The sequence below is a fragment of the Homo sapiens genome, chromosome 6 (genome assembly GCF_000001405.40).
Source record: "Homo sapiens chromosome 6, GRCh38.p14 Primary Assembly".
Classification (NCBI taxonomy): Eukaryota; Metazoa; Chordata; class Mammalia; order Primates; family Hominidae; genus Homo; species Homo sapiens.
In genome coordinates, this window is record NC_000006.12 from 153,042,030 (window position 1) to 153,056,596 (window position 14,567).

Below are 14,567 nucleotides of genomic sequence, written 5' to 3' on the forward strand. Positions count from 1 at the left end.
ACAGATAGAGATGGGTGAGGATAAGATTTGAACCCCGGCAGTCTGACTTCAGAACCACTATAGTAAGTCATTACATGGTACTTCACAGATTAAGACCAGAGCTAGATAATCTCTTTAGGCATGACACAGAAAAAGATTACACAACTATGATTGAAATATTTACTTCATCTCAAACTCTGTTTCCTCCATCTTAAATTATTAAGGCTTAATAATGAAAGGAAACAAATTATGTATATGATATGGTTTGGCCGTGTCCCCACCCAAATCTCATTTGAATTGTAGCTCTCATAATCCCCATGTGTCATGGGAAGGACGCGGTGGCAGGTAATTGAATCATGGGGATGGTTTTTTTCCCACGCTGTCCTCATGACAGTGAATAAATCTGACGAGATCTGATGGTTTTATAAAGGGCAGTTCCCCTGCACATGCACTCTTGCCTGCCACAATGTAAGACATGCCTTTGCTCCTCCTTTACCTTCTGCCATGATTGTGAGGCCTCCCCAGCCCTGTGGAACTGTGAGTCCATTAAACCTCTTTTTCTTTATAAATTACCCAGTCTCAGGTACTTCTTTATAGCAGCATAAAAATGGACTAATACAGTATGACTTTCTGTAACAAAGAATCATCATCTGGGAAGCAATATTGATATCTATAAAAACTACTTAAGCTTTCCAGATTACTACAATGACTATGTTTTTCTGAAACTGGAGTTTTCTAGAGTGGATGGAACTTGTTCGTCACCAAGGTTACCACTCTAGTACAGCCCTCTTTACCTTCTTTTGGCCACAATGATACAACATTTTGTCATATCAAAAAAGAAACCTCAATATATGTTGGGAAACTGTAGAGATAATACACAGAGAGATGACTCCAACATATGGGCCTTTCTCTAGGTTCTGAATTAGTCTGGGGAGACCCAGAAGACCACTGCTGGGCTAGAAGATCCACTTGTAAACTGTATGTTAAAAGACCCCAAAATGTATGGTTCAAAGGAAAGTTCCATGAAGTCTAGCATCCCCTTGAGGAATCTCATCTGCATAAATGTTAGGCACTTTACGAATCCGGAACTCGAGCAGGTTCTCTGAGCTCCCTGGATCATGGATGTTCAGCACTAGATGGCACCTTGGGAATTAGCTTGTCTAACTCTTCATCATTTTGCCAATGAGGAAATCAAAGGACAAAGAGATTATGAGTTTGCATGATGTCCCAGAGCCTGCCAGTGATAACACCACAATGGGAAGCAGGTTCTCTGGCTCTAATTTCAGGATTTTTCAATGAACTGAGTTGGACTTCATTCCAAGCACAGCCACTGACCTTTTAGATAGGTAGTTGTGAGTCAATGACTCTTCTCTCTGTCCTTATTGGCAGGAATTCTGGGCAGAGGTTGTTACCCTGACTTACAGTTATCTGGTCATACAGCTGAATGCTCAACACCCTATCAAGTAGCAGCAGAGAACTAAAAAAAAAAAAAAACACATGCAATACTACATGCAATATTACTAGATGTTATTTTAATGTTCTTGCCTGTAACATTGGAGAATATTGCTTATTGATAAATACAAATGTAACTAAAATCTTATTTTTACCCATATCTTTAAGAAGCATGGATGGAGAAAAACATGATATAAAACACCTCTTCATTTTTTTTACCTTATTATCAATTTAAATGTAGATTTTGGGGAAATATTATATATTTTGTTTGTGAAAGTATTTGCATTAAACCAATGATAGTCTTCAATAAGTCCTACTTGCAAAGAAAGAACAAAAAAAGACATGTTGAGCAGTTTCTACAGTTCTGAGATTTGGCATGCATGTTCACACTAGTGCCTGCCAAGCCTGGGTGTGGCATCCTACAGGTAACATGACATACCAGGAGCAGCTGCAACAACAGCACCAACAAAAGCAACAGGTGTTGTTGGGCCTCTGGTTTCCAGGAGCTTGAGACACGGCAGGTGTTCCTTCATTTTGGGACTGCTGCCTTTTTCGCATTTCAGCTACTTCAGGACCCAGTTGGCTGAAAGAGATAAAACAAAAAATTGGGTATGAAAAAAGCAATAAGGATAAGTTGCGTATGCTGAAGGAAGGCTCATTTCACTAAGGAAGGAGGGAGGTAATTTAAGAAAAGGTAAAATAAGGAAACTTGAGAGGCCAAACTAAAAATTCTCAGGAAAACTTTTTAGAAGGATATACTAAAAACTTTGGGGAGGAACGTCTACCTTTATCTGCTGCATAAAATTATAGCAACAAAGTTGCCACGTAATCAAGATTGTTGGTAAAGTAAATATGATAAGGTTTGAAAATTTATTTTTAACTTCCTTCTTTACTCAAGAATGATTAAATCTGCCTTTTTTATGGACACCATTCGGTGATTATAGAGGGTGTATGTAACTCGTTTTTCCACTAATGTTTACAGTAAGGTAAATTGAGCTTTATAAATGATTGTTGCATGGTTTCTAACTATATAAGAGTATGAGGAAGATCAAGTTTATTCTTGGCGCCCTCTCACTTCCTTTGAAACACAATATCCTTTTTGGCACTTTTGACTCATCCTCCAGAGGCCTAACCTTAATAACATTACCAAAAGGCCTTATTTTCTGTTAGGTGTCAGTGTTGCAAAGGCATTAGCTTCTCTTCTTCCATCCCCCAAATTTATCTTTATTTAACGGAGAGTTGGGGGAAAATAAAAGTCATCAAATTCAGGGGAATTACTCTGGTGGAATTTATATATCATGGCAGATAAAATAAATATTGGGATACAGAATGTCCTATCTGTGATCTTACAAATAAGGCCAAATGAGTTGCTACCTATTTATAGGACCAATCCTGATCTAAGACTGTACTGAGGATTAAAATAAAAAGTTTTGTCTTTGAGTAATATCAAATTTAGCATGAACTCTTAGAAAAAGTAATGCAATCTACTGAATGATGTTTTTCATAAATAGGCAATGTATGTAAATCATACACATATATTGTCAAATGTGTGGCTGAGAGCAGTACTTATTAAAACTATAAAGTGCTTCAGGTTATTTTGGCATTATGAGCTATTATTTTAAAATGATATTTTCAGTTCTGAATACAATGATAAACACTTTAAAAAATACTGCATTCTTGAAAACCAGATAAACATATTTTTCGACCAGAAACAGAGCAGAAAACCACAGTTGTAGGTGAATGGGGTCTAAAGCCACAGTAATTCTGCAATTCAGATATTGAAACAGAAGCGGGCAAAGGTCCACACTCCAGTGAGGTGTTAGATGCTCCCCTAGGAGGAGTGGGAGTCTGATTCCAGGTTGCCTGCAAAAAATCAGGGGCTGTGATTGTGCCCTTCATAAAAAGGTACTGAAAAAATAATTTCTACTATTCAGTAATGCCTAGCTGCAGAAAGGGTAGGATGCAGAGAAAGCCATCCAGATCAGACTTCAGCCAATCAGCTTATTTGTTCAGTGACTGGGTCAGGGAATTTTCCAAAATCACTGGCAGATGGCAGGGAATCCTGAGATACTGATAAAAGAGCTGCTTCAAGACTAAGGGTCTTAAGGGATTAGTGGAAACAAATGAAAAGCATTACATTATGAAGAGTAAGTGACAGTAAGAAATACATCTCTCACTCAATGTGTTACCTGAAAGCAAAAATCCATATTAACACCAGAAAACAGACAACCAACTCAACAATTAGGAGATTAATATATTCCTGATCAAATGCTAATAACAGAATCACCTAAAATTAGTTTAACAAACATATATTTAAGATAAACAATGTGATAAATGAAAGAATACAATTTAAATGGGAGAACAATAAATTATAAAACTTATCTGACTTCCCCTTTTCCAATTTGGATGCCTTTTGGATACGTGCACCTCCATGTTGACTGCAGCACTATTCACAATAGCCAAGATATGGAATCAACCAAGGTGTCCAAAACCAGATTAATGAATAAAGAAAATGCGGTATATATACATCATGGAATACTAATTTAGCCATTAAAAATAATGAAACCCTGTCATTCACAGCAACATGGATGGAACTGGAAGATATTATATTAAGTGAAATAAGCAAGGAACAGAAGTTAAATACCACATATTCTCACTCATATGTAGAAGTTTAAAAAACATTGATTTCATAGAAGTAAAAAGAAGGACATAGCATACCAGAGGCTGGGAAGGGTAGGAGTAAGGGAGGGATATGGATACATTTTTTAAGGGATATAAAATGGCAGCTAGATAGGAGGAATAAGTTATAGTGTTCCACATCGCTGTAGGATGACTAAAGTTAACAATAATATATAGTTTTAAATAGCTGGAAGGAGGATATTGAAAATTCCCAACACAGAGTAATGATAAATGTTTAAGACGATGAATATGGTAATGATCCTTTATTACCATAGAGTGATAAGTGACCTTATCACTCTACATTTTATGTACTGGAACAACATTATGTACCCCATGAATATGTACAATTATTATTTGTCAATTAAAAATAAATAATAAAATAAAATAAATTATAAAACAAAAATTGGCAAATATGAAATAAGAAAAGACATAACGGGAATGTAAAAACAAACACAAATAGCTATTAAAAGATTTACACATAATCATTTCTTTCCCAAACAATCCCGAAGATGGTGCCAAGGAATATACTCAGAATTCAGCAAAGAGTGAAGAAAAGCTACAACATGAAAAGAGAATTGAGATAAGCAGACCAGTAACATTGAAAGGCCCCAATATATACCCAACAAGATTTTCTTCATAAGGGGAAAAATAATGGATTGTCAGGAAAGTCATAATATTTTAAGGAAAATTGGCCAAGAACTCCCTAGAACTGGAAGAAAACAAAACAGAACAAAGCCTCACATAAAGGAGTATACCACATGCTGAGTAGGATGAATAAAAATAAAAAGAAATCTACACTTATAAACAAAATAGTAAAAACACATCTAGATGATAAAGACAAAAGCTGAATTACCCACACACAAGTAATGCTTTGATTGACAGTGGACTTTCCATGAGCAATATTAGATGCTGAAGATGGTGGGCAATGGAGTTATGTGTTCCAAGTGCTGAGGGATAATAATCATCCTACAATTTTATATGCACCTAAGTAAAAATTCAAGAGTGAAGATTATTTCTGATAAACTCACTGAGTTGATTACTCAAATATTTGCTGGAACCTACTTCAGTCAGAAGAAAACAAAATTAGAGGGAAGGGGTAGAATATAAGAAACAGAACTGAAATTGGTAAAATAGGATGCTGAACTTAATGACCTGGCTAAAATAAAAGTCTATGTTTCTCTGTTTAGATACACTCAAGAATTAAATTTAAGACTACATCAATTACGAAAATGGGTGGGCTGCCCTAACCCTCTAATGAAACAGATTTTGTAGACATCTCAATGTCCGCATATTATTAAGTCCAAGAGTTATTTTGCCATCTCCTTCTGGGCCAACAGCATTTTACACTACAATGGACAGAATTTGCCCTTGCAAAATATATTTGTTGAAGTCCAAACCCCAATTGTGATGGTAATAAAAGCTGGGGCCTTTGGGAGGTAATTAGCTCATGATAGCTGAGCTCTCATGAATGGGATTAGTGCCCTTATAAGAAGAGGCCAGGGAACTGGATTGCTTTTCCCCACCATGTGAGGATACAGAATGACAATCTTCTACAACCAGGAAGCAGGCCCTCACCAGACACCAAATAGGCCACCATCTTGATCTTATACTTCCCAGCCAACAAAACTGTGAAAAACAAATTTACGTTGTTTTTAAGCTACCCAACTATGATACTTTGTCTACAGTAGTCCAAACTGACTATTTTAACTCCACCCTCTTTGAAATACTTTCTTCTCTTGCCTCCTGGGCACCATACTCACCTGTCTGCTTTCTCATCACTTCTTTGCAGTCTACTTTCTTGTTTCCTTTTCATCTTCCTCGCTTTCAAATTTTGAATGGCCACAGTGTTCTGTCTTTCTTCTCTATCACTTCTTTGATGAACTCATTGAGACTTTTTTGGGTCTACCAGCTTTCTGCACAAAATCCTCAAATTTACATGCCCAGTGAAGATAATTTTCCTGAATTCAGGATGCAAATATCCAACTACCTACTCAATATCTTCACTTGGCTTTCTCAAACTTAACATGCTCTAATCTGCCCTCATTATCTTTTCCCAAAAACATGTTCTTCCCACAGTTTCTCCAATTTTACTGAATGAAAAGCCTCATCCTTCTCATTTTTCACACCAAAAAATCCTGGACTCATCCTTGATTCCTCTATTTCATCTGGATGTCACATCAGCAGATCAGCAAATGTGAGACTTCTTAACTGGTATCTGCTACCCATCTTCTGTTTCTACCACCTCCTATCTCCTTCTATTACAATTCCATTTTATTCTATTCTCAAGACAGCAGCCAGGATGAGCCTTTCAAACCTAAGTCAGATAATTTCAGCAAAGACTCTTCCATTCAAATCCAATCCAAAACTTCCAGTGGCTTACCATCTTATTCAGAGTGAAGTTCTTACAGTCTGCTTTTTTGTTACTCCCCTGAATGTATCTCCTTTTCTCTGCCTCTTGTTGTCTGTTTCAATCACAATGGCCTCCTTGCTGCTCCTCAGCCATGCTCGGTACAATTACGTGTCAAGACCTTTGCACTTGTTTCACACTTAGGGTTTCACTCCTTCAAGTATTTACTGAAATGTTACATTCTCCTTGAAGCCTTCATGACCATCTTATTTAAAAATGAACTCCCTCACCTCATCCCCAGTATGAGCTGTTACCCTTTCCTGTTTAACTTGTCTCCATATAATGTATCATCACTAGTCATACTACAAGTTTTACCTGTTTGTTTGTCTAACCAAGGAGCCAATAAATTTCATGAAGGTAGGCACTTTTGTCTGTTTTGTTCATTGTTGTAACAATGCTTGGCACATACTAGGTACACAAATATTTGTAGAATGGTGAATTTTACAGCATTCCTATTAACGATAAGAAGAAAACAATAAAGTCTATATACCCAACATTCAAAATTATTAATTTTGCAGCCAATGCAACAAAATTAGAAAAAATAAATAAAAATTGGAAAAGAAAATACAAACTTTACTATTTACAAATGATATGGTTATCAACATAAAACTTCCAAGAGATTCGGCAGATAAGTTATTAGAGGCAGTTCAAGAGGGATGCCAGTTTAAGCTTTAAAATATCATATACTTCTAATACACTAGTAATAATGAATTTGAATATATAAGAAAAATAAAGGCATAGTTCAATAGCAAAACCAAAACAGTAACTGGTAATATTTATAACAAAAATTGTATAAGAACTCTATAGAAATATTACGAAACTTTATCAAAAAACATAAAATAAGACCTGAATACAGAGTTGGGTTATCTTCTCAAGTGGGAAGACCAAAATCTTAATTGTCCTAAATTATTTTATAAATTCAAGGCCGGGCATGGTGGCTCACACCTGTAATCCCAGCACTTTGGGAGGCCGAGGCGGGTGGATCACGAGGTCAGGAGATCGAGACCATCCTGGCTAACATGGTGAAACCCCGTCTCTACTAAAAATACAAAAAATTAGCCAGGTGTGGTGGCGGGCGACTGTAGTCCCAACTACTTGGGAGGCTGAGGCAGGAGAATGGCATGAACCTGGGAGGAGGAGCTTGCAGTGAGCCGAGATCGCACCACTGCACTCCAGCCTGGGCAACAGAGTGAGACTCCTTCTCAAAATAAATAAATAAATAAATAAATAAATTCAATGTGATCACAGTAAAAATTCTAATTCAATCATTCATGGAACTTAACAAATGAATTCTAAAACTTACATGGAAGACTGAAGACATGTCTGAAAATAAAAATAAGTGGGGGTGTTTGTTCTATCAATAATATAGAAGTCATAATAATTAGGCAATGGCATGGGAACAGATATGTAGATCAAAATAATAAAACTCTCAGAGAGCTGAGTAACCTTCAGGCATTTATGCAGTCCTGGCTTAAATTAGAGTATGCAACTTTATCATTCAAGAATGACAGACTACTCAAAAATGGTGTTGAGATATTTGCACTTACATATAAAAAATTACACCTCCAAGTGATAATACATGCAAAAATAAACTCAAAACATGAATACAAAAATAGATGTTACAAATTCTAAAACTGTCATAAAAACGTAGACTATAGCTTCAGAGCAGAAAAGGATTTCTTACTATAAGATCAAGCTCAAAAGGAAAAGCTTTTTTTTATATAGTTTAATTTATTAAAAAGTTTTGAGCAAATAAGGAAACAATAAAATAGAAACAAGAAAAATAGAGAATCATACTGGAAGATACAAAGGAATATTATCCGTAATAATAAGTAACACATTGCAATTTAACAACATAAAAACCTAATAGAAAAATTGGCAAACAAATTTGCAGGCGGGTCATAAAAGAGGAAAATATAAATACTCCAAATTAAATGAATAGATGCTCAGAACTATTAATCAGAGAAATGTGGATAAAAAAGTATTCCACATTCAAATTTTCCACTGTTAAAAAGTCATACAATATCAATTTTGGAAGAGTACTTGGGTAAATTAAAAACTCCTCACACTAATGGTAGGAATATACATTGAGAAATCACTTTGAAGAACAATATTGACTACATGTAGTTCACAATACACATAACCTATGACAAATTCCATTTTTATGTTTATACACTGGAGAAACTCAAACCTTTATTTGAAGACACTAATTACAGTATATTTAACACCTTAAATTGGAAACAACCTGTTATGGACTGAATGTTTATGTCCCCCTCAAATTCATATGTTGAAATGTAATCCCAAATGTAATGATATTTGGAGATGGGGCCAAATATAATGATATTTGGAGGTGGGGCCTTTCAGAGGTAATTAGGTCACAAGAGCAGAGCCTTCATGAATGGGATTAGTGCTCTTATAGGAAGAGGACAGAGAGTTGGTTCTTCTTCTCTCCATGTGAGGACACGGAAAGAAGATAGTCATCTACAACCAGGCAGCAGGCCCTCACCAGACACCAAATAGGCAATCACCTTGATCTTGAACTTTCCAGCCCCCAGAACTGTGAGAAATAAATGTCTGTTATTGATAAGCCACCCTACATATGGTATTTTATTATAGCAGCCCAAACTAAGAGAGAAATTGGTACTGAGAAGTGGAGTGCTGCTATAACAAATACCTAAATATGTGAAAGCAGCTTTGGAACTAACCAAGAGTTGTGAAGTACATCTAGAAGAAGCCAAGATTGTCATGAAGGGACTTTTAAAGGTGATTTGGTTAGGGCTCAGAAAGGGAAGAGAAGAGCTGTAGAGAAAGCTTCCATCTTCTTAAAGAATACATATGTAATCATGGACTGAATGTTAGTAGAAATATGGATAGTAAAGGCCATTTTGATGAATTCTCAGACTGAAGTAAAAACATGTTATTATCTTCATTAACACTAAATTTCACTGTCCTTTTCTCCATCTTGTGCAATGGAGAACAGGCAATCCTTGTTATTAAGCGGCCAACAACTTGGGTGAATTGTGTTCATATTATTAGTGTTTTGTGGAAGTTGGGACTTGTGAGCAATGAAGTTGGCTATTTAGCTGAGGATATTTCTCAGCTAAGTACTGAAGGCACGGCTTTGTTCCTCCTGACTGTTTAGTAAAATGTGAGAAGAGAGAAATGATGTGAAGAGGGACTTATCAAACAACAAGAAACTAGAACTTATGAGCTTGGAAAATTCTCAGCCAATCCATATTGCACAAAATGAGAAAGCATGTTTAAAAGAGAACACTAAGAGTATTACCAAGCCACCATTTGATAAGGAGATTAGTATGGTGTGAAGCATGGACTGAATTAGCTACCTCAGCAGGAAAACTGCCAGTTTGAACTGAATGGGAAGGAATGAAGAAATGTTGTCAGATTTTTTGGATTTTACAGGGAAGACCATAAAACTTTTCAGCTGCAAACATGATCTATTCTTAAAGACAAGGGAAGAATGACTACAAAAAAATGATTCAGAGATCATCAGGGCTTCATCCTATGTTGCAAAGGGTGGAGGAAGAATTGCCTGATTTTCAACAAGTTAGATTACCTCCAATCAAAGGCATGGGGGTAGGACTGGGAGGAGCTGTGGAGGTTTGGTGCCTGCCCAGCAGAACCCTGGGATTGAGATCCCAATTTGGCAGAGGTGCAGAGCAATATCTCAACTCTACTGGGTCTGGAAAATGGGACCTCTGCCCCCAGTGGGCCTGGAGTGCACAGCATCAAGCACCAGAGGATTATTCTCCAGCCCTGAGATATGGAGTTTGACTTGCTAGGTTCTGGACTTACTTAAAAGCTATCACTCTTTTCTTCTTTCCTATTCCTTTGCTTCTGAAATGGGGATATCTATTCTACATCTGTCCCACTACTGTAGTTTGGAAGCACATAACTTATTAGGTTGGTGCAAAAGTAATTGTGGTTTTTTGCCATTAAAAGTAGCAAAAATCGCAATTACTTTTGCACCAACCTAATATTTGGTTTTACATGTTCATAGCTGGAGAGGAGTTCTGTCTCTGAATGAATGATACCTTAAGAATCACTCATATCTGATTTAGATGATAGTTAGATAAGACTTTGGACTTCAGACTTGAGAACCAATGCTAGAACAAGTTAAGACTTTTGAGGCTACTGGGATGGAAATAATGTATTCTGCATGTGAAGACATGAATTGTGGAGGGCCAGGAGCAGAATGTTAAATACTGAATGTGTGTGTCCTCCTCAAACACATATGTTGAAATCTAATCTCAGGGTGATATTAAGAGGTGGGGCCTATGGACGGGGTCATTAGACAATGACGGTGGAGGCCTCATGAATGAGATTAGTGCCCTTAAAAAAGGGACCCCCAGATTACTCTCCTGCTCTCTTTCCATCCTGTGGGGATAAAACGAGATATCAGTAGTCTGCAGCCTAAAAGAGGGCCCTCACCAGAACCCAACCATACTGGCACCTTGATCTCAGACTTCAACTTTCAGAGAAATACTGTGAGAAATAAATTTCTGTTGTTAAGTTATCCAGCTTATGGCATTTTGTTATAGCAGCCTGAGCTAAGACACAACCAATATTCTCATTTTTCCAGGAATGAATTTTAAAATGGTGATATTGTTATATGTTAATATATAAAACAGCTCTTAAAATGAGTAACTTAGATCTATATGAATCAACTTGAGGCAATCACAAAACAATGTTGAATAAAAAAGCTGCAAAATATTAAATACAGTATCAACATAATTTTCATAAGCATACAAAACAAACAATAATACATATCTTTTCTGGAGAATATGTGTAACATACGCAGTTACAGAGCATGGACTGGATCCATTACTGGGTGTTCGGGAAGATAACGATCAGGCTGTGATTGCAAAAGAAAGAATTTCAACTTTAATCATTTCTTTAAAAAAGATCTGAAGAAAAAGCAAAATATTTACAGTTACATGAATTTGGTATTGAGGCAGAGCACGGTGGCTCATATCTGTAATTCCAGCCCTTTGGGAGGACCACTTGAGGCCAAGAGTTTGAGACCAGCCTGGTAACACAGTGAGCCTCCATCTTTACAGAAAATAAAAAATTTAACCAGGCATGGTGGCATACATATGTAGTCCTAGGTACTTGCTACTTGGGAAGCTGAGGTAGGAGGATTGCTTCAACCCAGGTGTTCGAGGCTGCAGTGACCTAGGATCGCACCATGTACTCTAGCCTGGGTGACAAAGCAAGAGCCTGTCTCAAAAAAGAAAAGAAAAAAGAAAAAGAAAGAAAGAAAAATAGAGTTTTGGGTATGGGAGTATTTATTTTATTATGTTTTATACTTATCTATATTTTCTTTTTCACATACATACATACACACATTATATATATATGTATATATATGTATATATAATATATATACATATATATTATATACATATATATGTATATATGTATATAATATATATACATATATACGTATATATGTATATAATATATATACATATATATGTATATATGTATATAATATATATACATATATATATACACACAATATTTTTTATATATATATATATATATATGTGTATATATATATATATACAGCTTTATACCAGGCAGGAATTTCTTATTTATATCCTGAAAATTTGCAGAAAGACTCAAAAACTTTCTTGAGAATTGAATACCTTAATTTTCTCACTGTTAAATACTCAATATTGAAACATTCAGAGGTAAATGTCATCTTGGATATCCATTTATTCACAAAATCTCTGAGATTGTTGTGGTTTGAAATCACTGTAGAGGGGTTCAAATATTAGTTGTTAGATTTGCAAGACCGAGGCAGGGCATGGTGGCTCATGCCTGAAATCCCGCACTTTGGGAGGTTGAGATGAGCAGATCACTTCAGGTCAGGAGTTCAAGACCAGCCTGACCATACATGGTGAAACCCCATCTCTACTAAAAATACAAAAATTAGCCAGGCATGGTGGCGGGAGCCTGTGACCCCAGCTACTTGGGAGGCTGAGGCAGGAGAACTGCTTGAACACAGAGGGTGGAGGTTGCAGTGAGCCGAGATCGCGCCACTGCACTCCAGCCTGGGCAACAGTGCATGACTTCATCTCAAATAAATAAATAAATAAATAAATAAATAAATAAATAAATAAAAAGATTTGCATGACTTTCACTCTCTTCTATGTCTTTCAACCGGCTTAAAAAAAACATCATAGGCAAACGCTTTATTTGCGCTCTTCTGAAGTAATTGTGTATGTTGTCCCATAATCATCTTCCTTCTGGAAAGAAATTCCTACTCATTGATTTCCTTTGTGTAGTTCCCATACCATTTGGAACAGATCACTCCTATTTTTCTGACTGATAGAGAATTCTCTAAGTCCCTGAATACCAGCAGTTCAGCATCTTATCTGTGTTTCCAGTCTAAACTTCTGGACCGCCCAGCAAGCAATGAGGTATAATATTTTGCTACATAGCTGGGGCGTCTGAATAATTAGACACACAGAGCAGGCGGAAGATGCACTATCTCAAAGAGCTGCTTAGTGACAGTGCCTAGGAAGGTCCTTCCCAAATCCCTGAACGTGGTAAGTAAGCACGGAAAATTGCTGCATGCCCTCAGGTGATCACATCCTGGAACCCCTATTTGCTTCTACTTCCTGTGCACCACTGCAAACTGGTGCTGAGGGGATTGGTGTGGGTTTATCAGTAAATACAGAAGGGAAAAATCTGTCTGCTGTTTTTTTTCCCTTGAGTTCACCAATTCTAATTTTTTAAGCCAAACACATTTTCTTAATGTTATAAGTTAAAAAATGAAAAGTTATGTAAAATGAAGCATAACTATGGACTGAAACTCTCAAATATTTTTGAATATGTGGAGGTCAATTCTTTTTTGTCATCCCTACCTCCCTATAGAGGAAGAGTGTCAAAAACCCATTTGACTTCACATGGTGGAGAAGAACAAGGCAGGAGAAACTGGTCTCTCCTTTGCAAAGAAGGACATACCTGTGCACAAAACTGGGACTTCAGATTTTTTTTTGAGCTGAGCAAGGATGGAAAGTGTTTTACAGCTGGCATCCTACCTGTAAAAACACTTCATCTAGTCCTTACGGTGAGGTGCAGGGAAAGTTGGTATGGAAGAAATACTAACGGACCCAAGCATAATGGTTTTCCCCTCAAAGCTTAGGCAAATTTATTAATAAGGAACACACATAAATCAGGTGTACTAATCAGAGAAGGTTTTTCATTGTCGTGCATTAGTTATATCTTCCAAGAAATGAGGGGAAATTCTGCTCTAACTTCTAGCTGTCCACAGTTTTACTCTGTTACTTCTTTCCCTTCCCCAGGGTCAGGTGCAATGATCAAAACCATCTCACAGGTTGAACAATGGGCCAAATAAAACAAAATACAATGTAAAAAGGATAAATGTAAGGATATGAACTTGGGTCTAAAAACACTGTTAAGGCTAGGATGGGAGAAACATGGTTTAACAGGAACATATGAAAAATTCGGGACAGTAAATTCAGCATTAACCAACAGTATGATGTTAAAATAGTCAATGGCAATTTAGAATGCATTAACAGAAATACGTTTTCTAAAACAAGATGTAATAGATATTCTCTGGGCTGGTTAAACAGTTATGTTCAATTCTGCTCACTACAATTTAAGAAATAAATTGAAATATGTTCAGAAGACTAAAAGGAGGAGAGTTAACAAAAACTCATGAGCGTCTCATAAGAACACTACTTTTAGAACAAAGGTGTTTCCTCTGAAGAAGAGAAAGATAATCAGAATCATAATTTTCTAATCACTGAGATCAGTGACGCCATGCACAGGATAAGAGGATATGCATTCACTTGTAAGATCCCAAAGGTTAGAACATGGATTAACGAATAGAAGCAATAGAAAGACTCTTTATTCCATATATGGAAAGTCTGACTGATACTCAGATAAGATCTTAATTCACCTGTAAGAAGAGCCTCAAGCCAAGCATTCTTGAGTATTTAAGTTACTGGTGAACAAGTCCTTGAAAGAGGTTGATTTAAAGGGGCCTCAAGTTTAC

At 36.6% G+C, this 14,567-nt stretch overlaps 1 protein-coding gene across 4 annotated transcripts in view; it reads right to left on the bottom strand.

The window, feature by feature from the left end:
• The window catches only part of RGS17 (regulator of G protein signaling 17), a 126,824-nt gene that overhangs the window by 37,571 nt on the left and 74,686 nt on the right, over positions 1 to 14,567 (bottom strand). For all 4 annotated transcript variants that reach the window (NM_012419.5, XM_047418634.1, XM_047418636.1 and 1 more), the window contains exon 2: positions 1,871 to 2,014. In NM_012419.5, coding sequence (NP_036551.3) covers positions 1,871 to 1,989 — 119 coding nt within the window. In that variant the 5' untranslated portion in view covers positions 1,990 to 2,014. The remainder of the gene's footprint in view (positions 1 to 1,870; positions 2,015 to 14,567) is intronic.